This window comes from Homo sapiens, chromosome 3 (genome assembly GCF_000001405.40).
Source record: "Homo sapiens chromosome 3, GRCh38.p14 Primary Assembly".
NCBI classification, from domain to species: Eukaryota; Metazoa; Chordata; class Mammalia; order Primates; family Hominidae; genus Homo; species Homo sapiens.
In genome coordinates, this window is record NC_000003.12 from 65,399,352 (window position 1) to 65,413,663 (window position 14,312).

At 41.1% G+C, this 14,312-nt stretch overlaps 1 protein-coding gene across 6 annotated transcripts in view, besides 3 other annotated features; it reads right to left on the reverse strand.

Annotated features, from left to right (window-relative positions):
* Positions 1 to 14,312, reverse strand: part of MAGI1 (membrane associated guanylate kinase, WW and PDZ domain containing 1) — a 685,393-nt gene that overhangs the window by 45,826 nt on the left and 625,255 nt on the right. For all 6 annotated transcript variants that reach the window (NM_001033057.2, NM_015520.2, NM_001365904.2 and 3 more), the window contains exon 13: positions 2,088 to 2,119. In NM_001033057.2, coding sequence (NP_001028229.1) covers positions 2,088 to 2,119 — 32 coding nt within the window. The remainder of the gene's footprint in view (positions 1 to 2,087; positions 2,120 to 14,312) is intronic.
* Positions 2,551 to 3,052: an enhancer, noted in NCBI's record as "H3K4me1 hESC enhancer chr3:65387577-65388078 (GRCh37/hg19 assembly coordinates)". NCBI's record gives its function as "activates a minimal SCP1, AML or CMV promoter by ChIP-STARR-seq in naive H9 embryonic stem cells {active_cell/tissue: H9 hESC(naive)}" and the evidence as "EXISTENCE:reporter gene assay evidence [ECO:0000049][PMID:30033119]".
* Positions 3,053 to 3,552: an enhancer, noted in NCBI's record as "H3K4me1 hESC enhancer chr3:65388079-65388578 (GRCh37/hg19 assembly coordinates)". NCBI's record gives its function as "activates a minimal SCP1, AML or CMV promoter by ChIP-STARR-seq in naive H9 embryonic stem cells {active_cell/tissue: H9 hESC(naive)}" and the evidence as "EXISTENCE:reporter gene assay evidence [ECO:0000049][PMID:30033119]".
* Positions 8,935 to 9,474: an enhancer, noted in NCBI's record as "OCT4-NANOG hESC enhancer chr3:65393961-65394500 (GRCh37/hg19 assembly coordinates)". NCBI's record gives its function as "activates a minimal SCP1, AML or CMV promoter by ChIP-STARR-seq in naive H9 embryonic stem cells {active_cell/tissue: H9 hESC(naive)}" and the evidence as "EXISTENCE:reporter gene assay evidence [ECO:0000049][PMID:30033119]".

Here is a 14,312-nt window from a genome sequence, read left to right on the forward strand (position 1 = left end):
AAAGGGAAACCACTTTCAAGCCACCTGTACAGAACTCTCACTGATCACAGATGTTAGCAGCACTTTACATCCAACAGCAGCCCTTGGCCGACAGCTCCCAAATTTTGTACAGCAACTGCCAGTGTGTGCCAGCAATGCTGTGAAAACCCTCAACCCTGTCCTGGCACAGAAATCAGGTAAGGACAAGCCCCAAGCTGGGGGCTTATTATTTTCTAACCCAGCAACACATCACTCTCTTAGCTTGTGGTAATTAAGAACCAGCAGACTATGGGTAAAGCAGTTGAGAGCTTCTTTCTTAGGAATGCAGCCCAAGTAATTGGCTTGCTGCTTGCTAATGATATGGCTTCTGCAAAAATTAACTGTCATAGGGAATTCTCTTAACTGACTTGGTGAATGCAGGTTCAATACCTATTTGATAGCCTTTGGGTTCACCAGGTAATTCCAAAACACTTGGGGGAAACAGAAATGCAAATGAATTACAAAAATCCTTTGCACACTAAATTTAAATGGAATGCAAAATGGAAAAGAACACCTTGCTACTTGACGTCATGCTACCTGTGCAAAACTACTATGTCTCCCTCAGCACACTCCTTGTTAAGACTCCATTCCATGTAGGGTGTGTAAAATAAGCCCATGTATCAACATAGCATGGCTGGGGTTGGGGAGAAAAAAGGAGGGTTCGTGCTAACTCAAGCTTATGAGACACATCTTCTGGATTTCCTTCCATTTCTCTGAAGGCGGATGGGTTACTGGCTATGACCAAGGGACAGGGAGACACACATGCGCACATGCACACACTTTGGCATCTTTGTGGTTCCAATGTGGGCACCAACCAGCACTTTTCTGCCTGGACGTTAACACACACTGACAAGGAAACCAGCCCTGAAGTCAAAGTTCCAATCACCACGGCACTATGCCATCGGAATCACATCAATTATTGCAGGTTTTTCTCTTTGGAGAACTTAGGAGTGAGGTTTAAAATGCAGGAAGCTCCCTCTCTCATCTCCTTAATAAACTTCTGCCTCATGCTGCCAGGCTTGGAGACAGGTGGAAAGAATTCAGCTGCAGCGCCGTAAGCCGCAAAGTTTTCAAGGTTCTCCCTTCCTGGATGGCACGAGGCTGTACATTTTCCCTCCCCCAAATCTTCTAAACCACATGGAAACATCCCTCTTTATCCTAATGTTAATGAATTGGGAAGCCCCTTCCACCCAGATCAATTTCACAGGCACTGGAGTTCCAGATGTTGAGTTAAGCAGCATTTTAATTTGTCATTAGTGCCCCGGGAGCATAAACCCATACCACCAAGCAAAACACTATAGCCTCTAAGCTATTAGCTAACATGTCAACTAGGTAATGCATCTTCAGGGAAACCAGATTGGAAAGGACAGCAAAACATTGATTTTTTTTTTTTTTTTTTTTTTTTTTTTTTTTTTTTTTTAAGAATCCTATACCTGCAGCATAATGCTGCTAAAGCTGGCAAAACAACAAAGGACATTTCTACAGCAAGGAAATGTCCTATTCTCAGTGCTGGGGCAGTGAACATTGTTCCATCTGAGCATGGTCACATATATGGGGCAAAGCAATTCTTCCTTAAACCTACAGGCTTTTTATTTTGTAAATAATTCATCCTCCGGCGCCTAAGAAAGCTAAGGGAGAGAATGGGTAGACATGTGAACGGCTGGGAACACCAGTTGAGAGCAATGCTACTCACGGAGCAGGTGGAGCTTTCTTTTTTTCTCTCCTTCCAAAGGAAACAATAGCATTTGTATCAAGTGAAAACGGCTAAGAAACTCATCCCTTTGAAGGAGAGTGTGGATGCATTTGTATAGAGAAGATTTCAAACATGCATTCTTTATCCTGGCTCCTGCAGCCTGCCCACAAATCACTATACAGTTAAAGACAAGCCCAAATACCTTGTATAACAAACAGATCCCCAGAACTTAAGAAAATGAGCCCCGGCTCCTGTCTCCCCCATCCACTGTAAAACACATTTAGTGAAGTGAAGCCACACAGAGTACCCTCCCACCTCCAGCCCCCCACCATCCACCCCAGCCCCAACAAGCACCAAGTAACTGACAAGTCCTTACCGACTTTGGGCTCTTCTTGGGAACTGGCAGCCCTGGAAAAAATGCAACAAGGAGGGGAGGGGGGAAGAAATCATTAGCATATAAATGTTACCTTTTCCTTAAAGAACAATCCCCAGGTGTTCCATGGCAACCTAGCCATCTGCAGAGTTATGTCAGATTTCTCCCCAGCATCGGAGTTACCAGGCTGTTCATATCGAATCAAAGCAGAGGGAGGAGGAGAGCGAGAGGCAGGAGATCTATCTGCATTAGCTATGCTGACTTGTACTGCAGCAGCCTGGAGGCTGGGAAAAGAAATTCACAGACCTCAGCGGCCTGGGAAATTGAACACTTGGACAGAATCTCAAATGCTCTTCTGGATTAAGAGAGACTTAACTTACAATTAAGTCCAGGTTATTTCCTTTCCACACGATCCACTTGTCAATTGAAACGGACCAATCAGGACAGAGGAAAGGGTATATATTTAGTTTCAAAGGAGTACATGGTTAAAATTAAAAAAATTTTTTTGGTCTTTTCTTTTTTTTTCCTCTGCCTTTCGGAAGAGGAAATGCTTTCTTTATTTGGATGAGCTCAATACCAAAACAAAGACGGATGCTCTTTTGCCAACACAGAATGCTAACAAATGAACACAAATCCAAGTTGCTCTAGGGTCCCCTCTGGATCATCAGCACATGTCTGTCTCAACGTCTGCCAGTCATCCAAGCAACCTCCTACTCACAGCTTGTTGGAAAGGAATGGAGCAGGATTAGCCCTCAGGAGGGAAAGCATGTCATTTGGGAGTGAAAAAGAAAAATTGCACAAAGCTGAAAGAAAAAGATAATAATGGAGAAAGAAAGGCAAAGGTGGTCATTGAATCCAGCTGGCTCTTCCAAAACCCTGTCCTTAGTGGGAGGGCTGGAGCTGGAAGGGACAAGTGATCTCCTCAATTCTAGGGAAGTCAGGAGCAATTGGGGGCAGACTTATGGGAAATCTACCACCAGGGAAGGGTGCGAAAGACAGGCGAGAAAGGAAAATAAAGCGTACACTGGTGTTTCAAAAGTAATCATTTCTGCAAGCTGTTGCCTCTTTTGATTTTTTTCTTTGGGCAGGAGTTAGAATGCAAAATACAGATTCTATCTGTATAAAGCACACAAGAGATGCTTGGGATCTGGTGATGCTGCACCGGAGATTTCAACCTGTTTTTCAAAGTGATTCCTAGGGAGTGTGACGATCTCAACTCTTTTGGAAGTGACTTGTCAAACCATGAGCCATGCTGAGTTCAGCACAAGTAATATGAGGCGAGGCAAGGCAAGTGGGTGAGTAAGGAGGAAGCAGCCCAGATGAGCCGGCAGAGTGCCCACTGGGAGTGAGGCATGATGAGGATTACTCGTCGTGGGAGGCATGAGGGCACTCTCTGGCAAGGTTCCTTGCATCACCAAAATGAGGTCACCATGGAAGCCTGGCTCCCAGACCTCAGAGGGCATAAGGCACACTCAGTAGTTTGTCAGAAATGCAGCAGCCCAGGTCCCACCACTGGGGGCCGAGGAATCTGCAGTATTAACAAAAATTCCAGGAGATTCTGATACAGAGAATCTGAGGACCATATTTAAGGAAACTCTGATATGGTAGAGTATTACTCTTTCAAATCAGGCAAACTCAGATAGGCATCCTTTAACAAAGTGCTTTGGGGCCCTCTCTGTCTCAGTTTCTCCATTTATAAAGGGAAAATAGTAAGACTCACTTCACAAGATTATTAAGATAATGAAACAAGAGAAAATGTTTAAAAGCCTCCTACCTGGCACAGAGGAGTTACTCAAATGTCTACACCTTTTCACCCTCCTTAGCTAATTTACATCATTCAGAAAGGAAGTGGTATAGTTATCTTGCACTAACTAGAGAAAAATCATCTGCTAAGCATATTAAAATATAAAAAAGATTATAGGAGAAAATATTTTACCTATGGATACAAATAACTGTGTTGAACAATTTTGATATGTCTTTATTTTTTAAAATAACGATTAAGTGCTTTTTTTGGCTTATTAATATGATTCCCTTAAGAAATTTTATTAGGTTGTATAAGTGTGGGTCACTGTATAAACTTCAAAATTATATAAGATGACATCTTTAAATTCATATTTTCTCCTAATTCAGAGAGACCTTCTTAGTTAATTGGAATCAGCAAGGTTTCACCATAGTTATCTTTTACTGCACTTGACTCTGCCCAGGATCCCAATGACCTACATGAAAATTTGGAAACAATCCCCCATTAGGTAAGTAGAGTCAGGGAAAATGGTTTCAATCTATACTCTGCTAATCATTTGTAAGACTCTGGCTGATCTTCAAATCCCTTCTCTTAAGAGCTTCATATATAAAATAAAGGGCATTTTTCATTCTCTAGCAATGCACATTCAAAGGTGCATTCACAACGATGTTCAGTGCAATATTGTTGGTAGAAAAGAGAACTGGAAACAACTGGAAATTCTAAAAAACTGTGGGGCAGCCAACCTACAAAGCTAGGTTAAAAGGAATGAGCTATCTCTACAGGTAACAACATAGTCTTTAAAACATAATGTTCAGTAAAATGCCACACTGCAGAATGGCAGGCACAGCAGGAGACAGGTGTTCCACACACTCAAACACATGTGTGGCTTTTGCCTTCCATGAACGTCCACATCAAATGGATAATGGGGATATGTTCAATAGTGGCAAGGAGGGGCAAGGATCAGAGGGACTCATTTAAGGAGACTTTAGCCTTATTTAGAATTCTTTTTTAAGACCAGCATTTTCACATATCACTGATGCAATAAAATACTAATTCAAAAATAAATATTAATTAATTAATGGCCCCTTCATTGTTAACTACACAAAGCCAACCAGTCTGAAGGATATGGGGGTAACCAGTTGAGGTCTGTTTCCTCTGAGGAAGTAGTCCATGGAATATTCCAGAAGATCCCAGCTCAACTGACACAACAAACCGTATATTACAACAAATAAGAAAACCTTTGTTTAAAGAGGCATTTGTTCCTCTTTGCCGGCTAGTTGCTGAAAACCTTCATTTTAAAAAGCCACACCTTTTACAGCAGCCCAAAAGCAGGTTACGACCACAAATTAATATTTAAATAGTCAAAATCAAGAGACTCCACTTGATTGCTTTTTAAAAAAAGAACTCAAAGATTTGTTTTAGGCCCACATGGTCATTAAATCTTAAAATCTAATACATATGAATGCTGGAAAAACCTTACTAGTTTATAATTTATTTTAGCCCAAACTATTCAGATGGATTGAAAACAGCTGGGAGACCTAACAGAAAAGACTCAAAAGGTCACTGCTTGCCAAGACAGAATGCTCCAAGACCTATCAAAGGAGATAGCGAGTATGTAACTGGTTAACTGCAGACATATCCCTACCAGCCAGGCCATAGGAAGCAACATCATCCCATACTTCATGGCATACCAGTGGTCTTCCCTAGACAAGCAAACACTTTGTATGCCTTGTGGCAGCAGGAAGTCTGTGTTCTACAAATCATGTCACATATCACATATAAGGCATACATATAAGGCATACGGCACCTGTCTTAATGGGCTTGTCTGGTCCATTCAGGGTAAGGAAGGGGAACTCTCAGAAGAGGCAGAAGAAAGAGTTTATGGATGGCAGCATCCGCTCTTAGGGCCTTAGAAGGCAGCAAATATTACTTCTAAGGGATCCCAGAAAACTATTCCAGGGAAGTGTATGTTCAAAGTGTGATCTGCAGGAGCGAGAAAAGCTTGGGACTTGAGTATCTAAAGTTCTCTATTAAAATGGTGTCATTTTGGAAAAAACGAATGGCAAATTCTTTGCTAGTGACTGGGACCTGACCAACTAATGTAAGGAGGAGAAATCTGTTTTCCTCTAAATATCAAGGCCATAAACTATAACTAAATGGCAGAATGTCATAGTTGGTGAAATTTTATAATGCTTGTACACAAATAATTTATATGAAAAAAGTAAAGCTGTAACAGAATACATACCATTTTGCAAAGAAAGGCTAGAAGGTTATGTGCGAAAACAGTATTTTCTTTGGCTCATGGGATTATGCGTGGCTTTATTAACTATTTTTAGTATCTCTACATCAAGAAAAGCTTTATTTATTTATAAATACACACATACATATCCACAGATACCACAATAAACAAAACTCTATACTGCTTCTTTTTTTTTTTGGACAGAGTCTCCTTCTGTTGCCCAGGCTGGAGTACAATGGTGTGATCTTGCCTCACTGCAACCTCCGCCTCCCGGGTTCAAGCAATTCTCCTGCCTCAGCCTCCTGAGTAGCTGGGATTACAGGTGCACGTCACCATGCCTGGCTAATTTTTGTATTTTTAGTAGAGACGGGGTTTCACCATGTTGGTAAGGCTGCTCTCAAACTCCTGACCTCATGATCCACCCACCTCAGCCTCCCAACGTGCTGGGATTACAGATGCACGTCACCACGCCTGGCTAGTTTTTCTATTTTTAGTAGAGATGGGGTTTCACCATGTTGGTAAGGCTGCTCTCGAACTCCTGACCTCATGATCCACCCACCTCAGCCTCCCAAAGTGCTGGGATTACAGGCGTGAGCCGCCACGCCCGGCCTCTATACTGCTTTTTAAGATAAATGCAGCATATTTCAGAACATTTTGTTGCATTTTAAAATCCCTTGAGCATCATTGATCTCTATATCCTCCAAGAGTTGCTTACTTTTCCCCAAAATGAATGCATACATATAGTTTTATTAAAGAACCCTCATAGATTAGGACCTGTGCTTGTCCTACTGATTAAATGTAAATACGGAAGAAGTAGGAGAGCTCAGCTGGGCTGTTGGGGAAACCAAGCAGAAGCCGAGCATTGCCATTTCAGCACTGAGACAAACAAAACCTGAGTTGCTGGGAAAGAGAGTGGACCTCTCTGGACCTAATTTCCTCCAGGTTTAAAGGAAGTGGGAATGCCAACCAACCTCACTAACTGAATGAATCAAGAAAAACTGCACAAAGAGGCTTTGAAAGGGTGAATCCTAAAGTGTCTGTCACATACAAAATGGATCTACGCATAAGAAAAATGTACTATTTTTGTCATCAATTTACATTTTTTCATTGTGATATTCATTCCCCTCTGCATTTGGGTCTCCCGACTTCAGCATTTTAGTGGAAACATTTTGCTTTCCTCCTAAGCATTCCAACAAATGCTGTGTCACTAATCCACATGTCACTGAACACATGGGATACCTTACAGTTTCGCAAGGCAAATGTTGCAATAAAAACTGAAAAACTGTCCTGGAGTTGGATTAGGTAATACAGTGTGCAAGGGGCAGGGAACTGTGTGTGTGTATATATATGTATACACACATACACACACAGTTATAGATCTCTCTCTCTCTATATATATATATCGAGGGGGAGAGAGACAGAGAGAGTAGGAGCTAGAGAGGGAGTCATCAGGGACCACTGAAAGCCACTGAAAGAAAATGACTGTGAGGTCTTGGTCAAGGGCTGGTCTTAGATACCAAAGAAGATAAAAGTACTTCTGAGCACAATCTCAGACCACATGAGCCTTCTCTGTTATTCGAAAACCTATCAATGCATAATTCTAAATGTAGGACTTTAAATTTACAATTAATTTTAACTCAGTAAACTGATCATTAGGAGTTTGTATTAAGGAAATAATCAGTCTTGCAAAAATTCCTATAAAAAGATGGTCGACACAGCACTATTTTAAGATGATAAAAAATGGAAACAGGCAGGGCGCGGAGGCTCATTCCTGTAATCCCAGCACTTTGGGAGGCTGAGGCAAGTGGATCACCTGAGGTCAAGAGTTTGAGACCAGCCTGGCCAACATGGCGAAACCCTATCTCTACTAAAAATACAAAAATTAGCTGGGTGTGGTGGCAGGTACCTGTAATCCCAGCTACTCGGGAGGCTGAGACAGGAGAATCACTTGAACCTGGGAGGCGGAGGCTGCAGTGAGCCAAGATCACACCACTGCACTCCAGCTTGGGCGACAGAGTGAGACTCCGTCTCAAAAAAAAAAAAAAAAGGAAACAATCTGAACTTCCAAGAGCGGAGGACTGAGTAGAGAGATGTGTTATATCAATACGATGAAAAATTATGAAACCATTAAAAATGAGCACAACAAAGAATATTCAGTGATTGGGGGAAATAATAATGATATAAGACATGAACAGCAGGGTAAAAACTGTGCATAGAATATATAAACTCATTGTTAAAAAGTGGATATACATATATATTCACACACATCATATACCCAAAGACTAAAGGAAATGCACTAAAATATTTTTCTAAACACTAGGATTAATAAGTAATTCATATTCTTATTTTCAGTATTTTCAAAGATTGCTGGATTTTACACATAATGTGGCAATAATCATCAACAGGATCAGTACTGCAGCCAATATGTAGCATGCCTGGACAATGGCACATACTGGCCTTAGCGCAGTGCTAGATTAAAAAACAACTGGAGTTTGTTCTATCTCTCCTTTGGCTCAATGACTTACTACCATTCTACTCAAGTGTTTATGCTCCTAAATTACTGGGTCATGGCCTTGATTGAAAAATGTGACACAAAGCTGTTATAGCCCCTCTCAAGCAAAGCTGCACAGAAGCACATAATTTTGCATATAATTTCAGGGAGTCTTTGAAACCTTCACTAGTGACCCTCAGAAACCCACTCTATTGGGGCCTATAGTCCTTAAGTTAAATCATCCTTGTCCAAGTATATGGCTATAGCATTAGAAGCAATTCCTAGGGTGAGATTTACTTTAGCTTAGCTTTTATTTTCAGTAAGAGCAGCATATAAGTAGAGGGGCCAATGGGAAGGATCAAACAGAAAGGTAAAACTTGCATTGCTTACTTCGCCTTCTTTCTTGGAAAGATTTAAAAGACACATCTGAAAAAATTATGAGGAGAGGAACTGTATTAAAGAACACAGGTAATTTTCAGCAAAAGTGCTGCTCCCTGGTAAAAGGAATGTGCCTCCTAGGCCATGCTTTTATTTGTTGGGGGTAGTAGGTTGATGAGTCAAAACAGTAAGAGATTATCGAGGCAAAGTCACAATGGGGTGCAGGAAAGACAAATTGAGAACAATCTGAGACTTCCCCAGCCAATCAGAATTGATGATTATTTGACTGCAATCCAGTGGTTCTAAACAATGAACATCAATGGCCGGCAACCCTTCTAAAAAAAAGCCATCTGCATCATTTCCTGCCAACCAGTTTTTTGTTTTCTTTGTTTAATAGAGAATATATAAGCCATGAAATAAATTTAAACTGTTCTCTCTGTACCAATAAAAAGCTAACGACAGTCCAGAAAACAGGAAAAGGTACATTCAGCCTTCACAGTTTCCACTGAGGGTAGGAAGGAAAACAGGGAAAATTCACTCACTCATGTAACCAAACTGTGCTGACAGCCTAGGAACTGGCATGAAATAAAGCAATGGGCAAGACCTACAGGGTCCTGCTTTCACAGCGCTCACATTCTGTGGGGAGACAGAATAAACAACTTAGCAAACAATTTCAGAGAGTGGTAACTTCTGTGATGAAAATGACGCAGGACAATGGAACAGGCTGTGCCGGGGATGCACAACTACTTTATGTTGGGTGATCATGCAAGCCTTTCTTGAAGAGACCGTATTTGAGCTAAGAGCTGAAGTATGAGAAGGAACCAGTCATGAGACCATTCATTCATACAAGATTTATTGAGCTCTGCCATATGCCTAGCAAAGCATCACTAAGAGATAAAAGTAAATCAGACATGGCCCCTGCCCTGGAGGAGCTCATAGTCTATTTTAAAAGAGAAAAAGCAAAGCAACCGTTTTATAATTCACAGTGGTAAGTGTTACATGCCAGGAGAGAAGGGAGCACTGTTGCTTTCAGGAATACAGGGAAGAGAAATCTAATCCGATATGAAGAAGGGGGCAGAGGGAGGAGCTGAAGTGAAGAATGGCTAGCATTTAATCGTGGGGTGGGGGAGTGGGTGGAAGCACATGCAATGATTGATGCTTGAGTGAATAATGATGATAAGCTTTTCTTGTTGTTGTTTTGTTTTAGCTAAATCAGTGTACCAGCATAAACTCAAGGCCAAGCTGAAACCAGAGTACATTTTCACTGAAGGACTTTATAAACACTATATATCACAAAATTGAATCCATAAAAAGGAATGAAAAAACGATCCCAGTTTGAACATGTTTCATTTTTTTTTTCTCCTTCTTCTGGCTAAATACCATCATAACCCCGTAGCATAATTTTTCAATACAAATATGATACCAGCTGCCAAGAACATAAGTATCAGACCCAATGTCTCCAAAAAGATGAAGACATTCTTTCCTTTGGGGACTTAATAATGGTCATTATGAAGTATTTTGACCATCATAATTTAGAGAGATAGTTGGACTTCAGATGTCTGAAATAAGTAGCTCCCAAGGCAGTGTCAGCTGGCATTTTGTGAAGAAGATTAAGAACATAGTTGTACTGGTTTTACAGCTACAGAGAAGTCTGCTTCAATTACACAGTACACATAGTCTAATAAATATGTCCCAGTAGAAATAAATGGCTTGCAAAGCTGGTGATTCCTGATGGCTTACAGAGCCTTTCACCTCAAAGTCACAAGCCTTGACCTGGCACAGGTAAGAAAGACCTAAAGTCATAAATACCTTGGACTGCTCAAAGACCTGGGTAAGATGGATGAATTGTCTCCATGCAATTCCTGAGAAATAAATGGTCACTCCAGAGAAGGTGTCATTGAAATGATATGGATGATCCTATTGTTGCTACTCTTGAAAACATGTGAAGTATGCCTAAAGGTTGAAAGCTTAGTGCAAAAATAACTAAAAAGTATTCAGAGCCTGTCTTTGACATAAATTTATTCTTCGTACCTGCACTCTAAGTACTAATATCTTCTCATTCTGCAGAAGAGAAAACCAAGACACTGATGGTCAAGTAACATGGCCAATGTCACACAGTCAGGTGAATAGCTGGGGATACTTGGTCTAAAACCAAGCCTGTGCTTTTAAACTATATGCTGTCATTCAAAGGTTCCTTAATTATTTTGGTTTAGAGTCTACTACGATAAGATTAATCCTATAGCCATTCATACATACCAAATGCATTTACAGAAAATTTTTAATATAGCTTTATGAAATACATGGACCTACCACTGACAACTGCTAGGTCAACGGGGTCAAGGTATCTAGGGCTCATAACTGCGACATGCATTTGGGAAGACAGTTCTTTTCTACAGATAGCCGAAGAGTGTATGCACAGTCAATCAATTTCTTAACACATCCCTGATATTTTACTCCAAGTCTCAGTACCTAAATCACTGGTCATTCAAGGCTACACATGCTAAAAATACAACGAGATCAGTCTCTGATTTGGGACAATGAAGCATGTCTTTAAAGCTACACAACTAACAGGTTGACTGGCCACAAAAACTCAGTTTCAAAGTGGGCAGGAGCTTTTTCTAGCTTGCAAATGTTTCCTGACGCTACCTAATAACAAAATTTCTTTTTTATTAATGGGCTTAGAGAAAAGATATGGAATGAGTCAGAAGTGGAGTGAACTATGGCATCTTCTCTCCAGAAAGGAAAGAAAAAGAACCGTTAACTTAAAACAACCACTAATTTGTCAAGATGTACCTACCACGAGGTCAATCTTTCTACCCTAGGTAATATTCCTACCAAGATCTACTTTTTAAGGGTAGAATTAAGCTAGTTTCTCATATGGTTCTAGGAAAGCTCTCTAACTTTATGTAAGTTAAAAATATTTGTAATTGTGGCATTTAGAAGTCGGGTCTTGTCTTCATCTAAAAATGCTTCTACCTCTAAGGAAGACTCCTTAACTACCATACCGACAACTTGAGGCTTCTAGTACCTATATTTCAAATTTGAATTGCTTTTTATGCAAATACTTAAGGGTTGACCATGTAACCCATTCCTCTTATCAACAGCTCATTCACAGAGGTCTCCCTAAGATAGGTGAAACTATGGTGGCCTGATAGCCCCATGCAGTTCCTACAAATTTGAGAGGGTGATTTTTAACTACATAGGATGTACGGGGGGATTATGAAACAATAGCTCAAAATAGCTCACCAAAAGAAAACACTGATAAGGATTCCTTTTCTGGGTTGGAAAAACAGGATGCTGTGTGGGCCCTTATTTTAAGGTCACCGGCCCCAAAGGAAAACCTATCACTGTAATTGGTGCTGAGAAGCTTGTAGGTTAAAAAATACACGCTGGGGCCCTTTTCTTTTGCATTGCTGACTTTTAGGTTGTTTCTTATCCCAACTGCTTATTTTTAGTAATGTAAGTTAGGCTCAGGACCAAGATAGAAACCCAGAATAATATCCGGGCTTTTAACCTTATAGGACACCAAACCCCTGAAACCTAAGACCCTGCCTGAGGCTTCTTTTTCTCTCTCCCACCATATCCGTCTCCAAACGCATTCTGAATCCATCCAAGTTCATCTCCACTGCCACTACCTTCTCTTGCCTAGATGACCACATGAGTCCAGAAACTGGTCTCTGCTTTATGGTTTATCCTCTTTATTATCCGCACCGAGGCCAGAGACAACTTTAAACGGCAGAAATCAGATTGTACTGTCTCCTGGCTCCATGTCCCTATGGCTTCCCAAAACCATTTCAATTAAAGACAAACTCTTTGTTCAGTGTCCCACTAAGCCCTCCTGGATGTGACCCCTCCTATCTCTTTACTTCCTCCTCCTGGACACACACTCCAGCCAGGTTGGCACCCTCCACTGCGGAACTGCCTCCTTGCAATTCTCTGGGCATTTTCTCTGGCTGCTCCCTCTGCCTGGAACTCTATGCCTGCAGATCTATGTGTGGGTGGCTCCTGCCTTTCACTCAGGACCCTCCTCAAAGGTGACTCCTTCAGAGAGCCAACCAGAGATCCAGGCAGGCTACCAGCAGATCTGAAGTGGCCCTTTTCTGACCCACTTTATTCACACAACCCAGTGTCTTTGTTTTCATTGAGCCTATCACTCTCTAAAATGACCTTGTTTACTTGTCTATTATTTATATTGTTTATTGTTTACTTATTGATTGTCTCTATTTCAGGGACCTATTCTATTTTATCGGTCTATCCCTAGAACAGTATCTGGTCAACAGTTCAATAAACACCTGTATCTCTCAAATGCATGTATGAATGTGCAGAGCTCATGAAATGAGTTTACACCTTGAAAGCTGCAGGAAGAGCTGATGAGGCAAAGGGGAGGAGCTGCTTGGCCTTTCTTTTTATAGCCATCATTGCTGCAGTGACTGTTTAACAGCTCTTGATCCTTGGTCTGTTCCTTGATTTATTGGTGAGCTGCCAGGTTCGGCTCAACTCACAACTGCCTCACTCAGCACAGAGAACAAGGTTCCGCTGTGCCACCTGGTGTCCTGACTTCCCATCACCACAGATGAGCTTTGGTCTCAGAACAAACTGAAAGCTCAGAGGGAAACACCAAACCCTATAAGCTCCCCACTCCAGCAAATGGATATGTTCTCAAGGATTCTTTGAGATCTAAATCTTCAGGTAAGGATAGCTTCATATCCTTACTTACTAAAGCAAACTTTTATTACAGCACTGGGTTCAATGCCTCTCAATGCCTCACTCTTCCCTACAAAAAGCGAACACATGCTGATGAAAAAAAATCTCAGATCCTTTTCTTAGGGCAAATCCATGAATCTCTTGAGCAGTTTCAACAGACTGATTGATGTGATGGTCACTTTTTGTCACAAGATACTTCTGCAAAATAGGAAAATTTTCCAGCTTGCTCTGGAGGGGGGTACATTGTTTGGCAATTTCAATTAGCTTTATTCCCAAACTGCTTAATTGCAACAGAGGCCATGCCTGGTACCATATCAAGCTTTACTCCAATATCTTAAATTTAAGAAATCATATAAGCCTTAGAAAACACAGGTCATGGTTAACAACAGCAAGGCGATCGGGCTTCAAGTCCTGCCGCACTGCATTATTCAAAGTGTCTGCAAGTCAGACCTAAAGAAGTCATTTACTGAGGGGTCAGGTTTTCCAAAGAGCATGGACATACAGTGAGCAGCCCCATTCATCTCCCATGGAGATATTAAATGTCTTCAAAATCCTCTTGCTGAAAGAGTATCTGAACTGGTCTAAGTGATTATGTGACTTAGAGGGAAAAAAGCTGTTTCCTTGACTATGTCAATTTCTAATGAATTGCTGCCCCATATAGCTATGAAGGGCAGG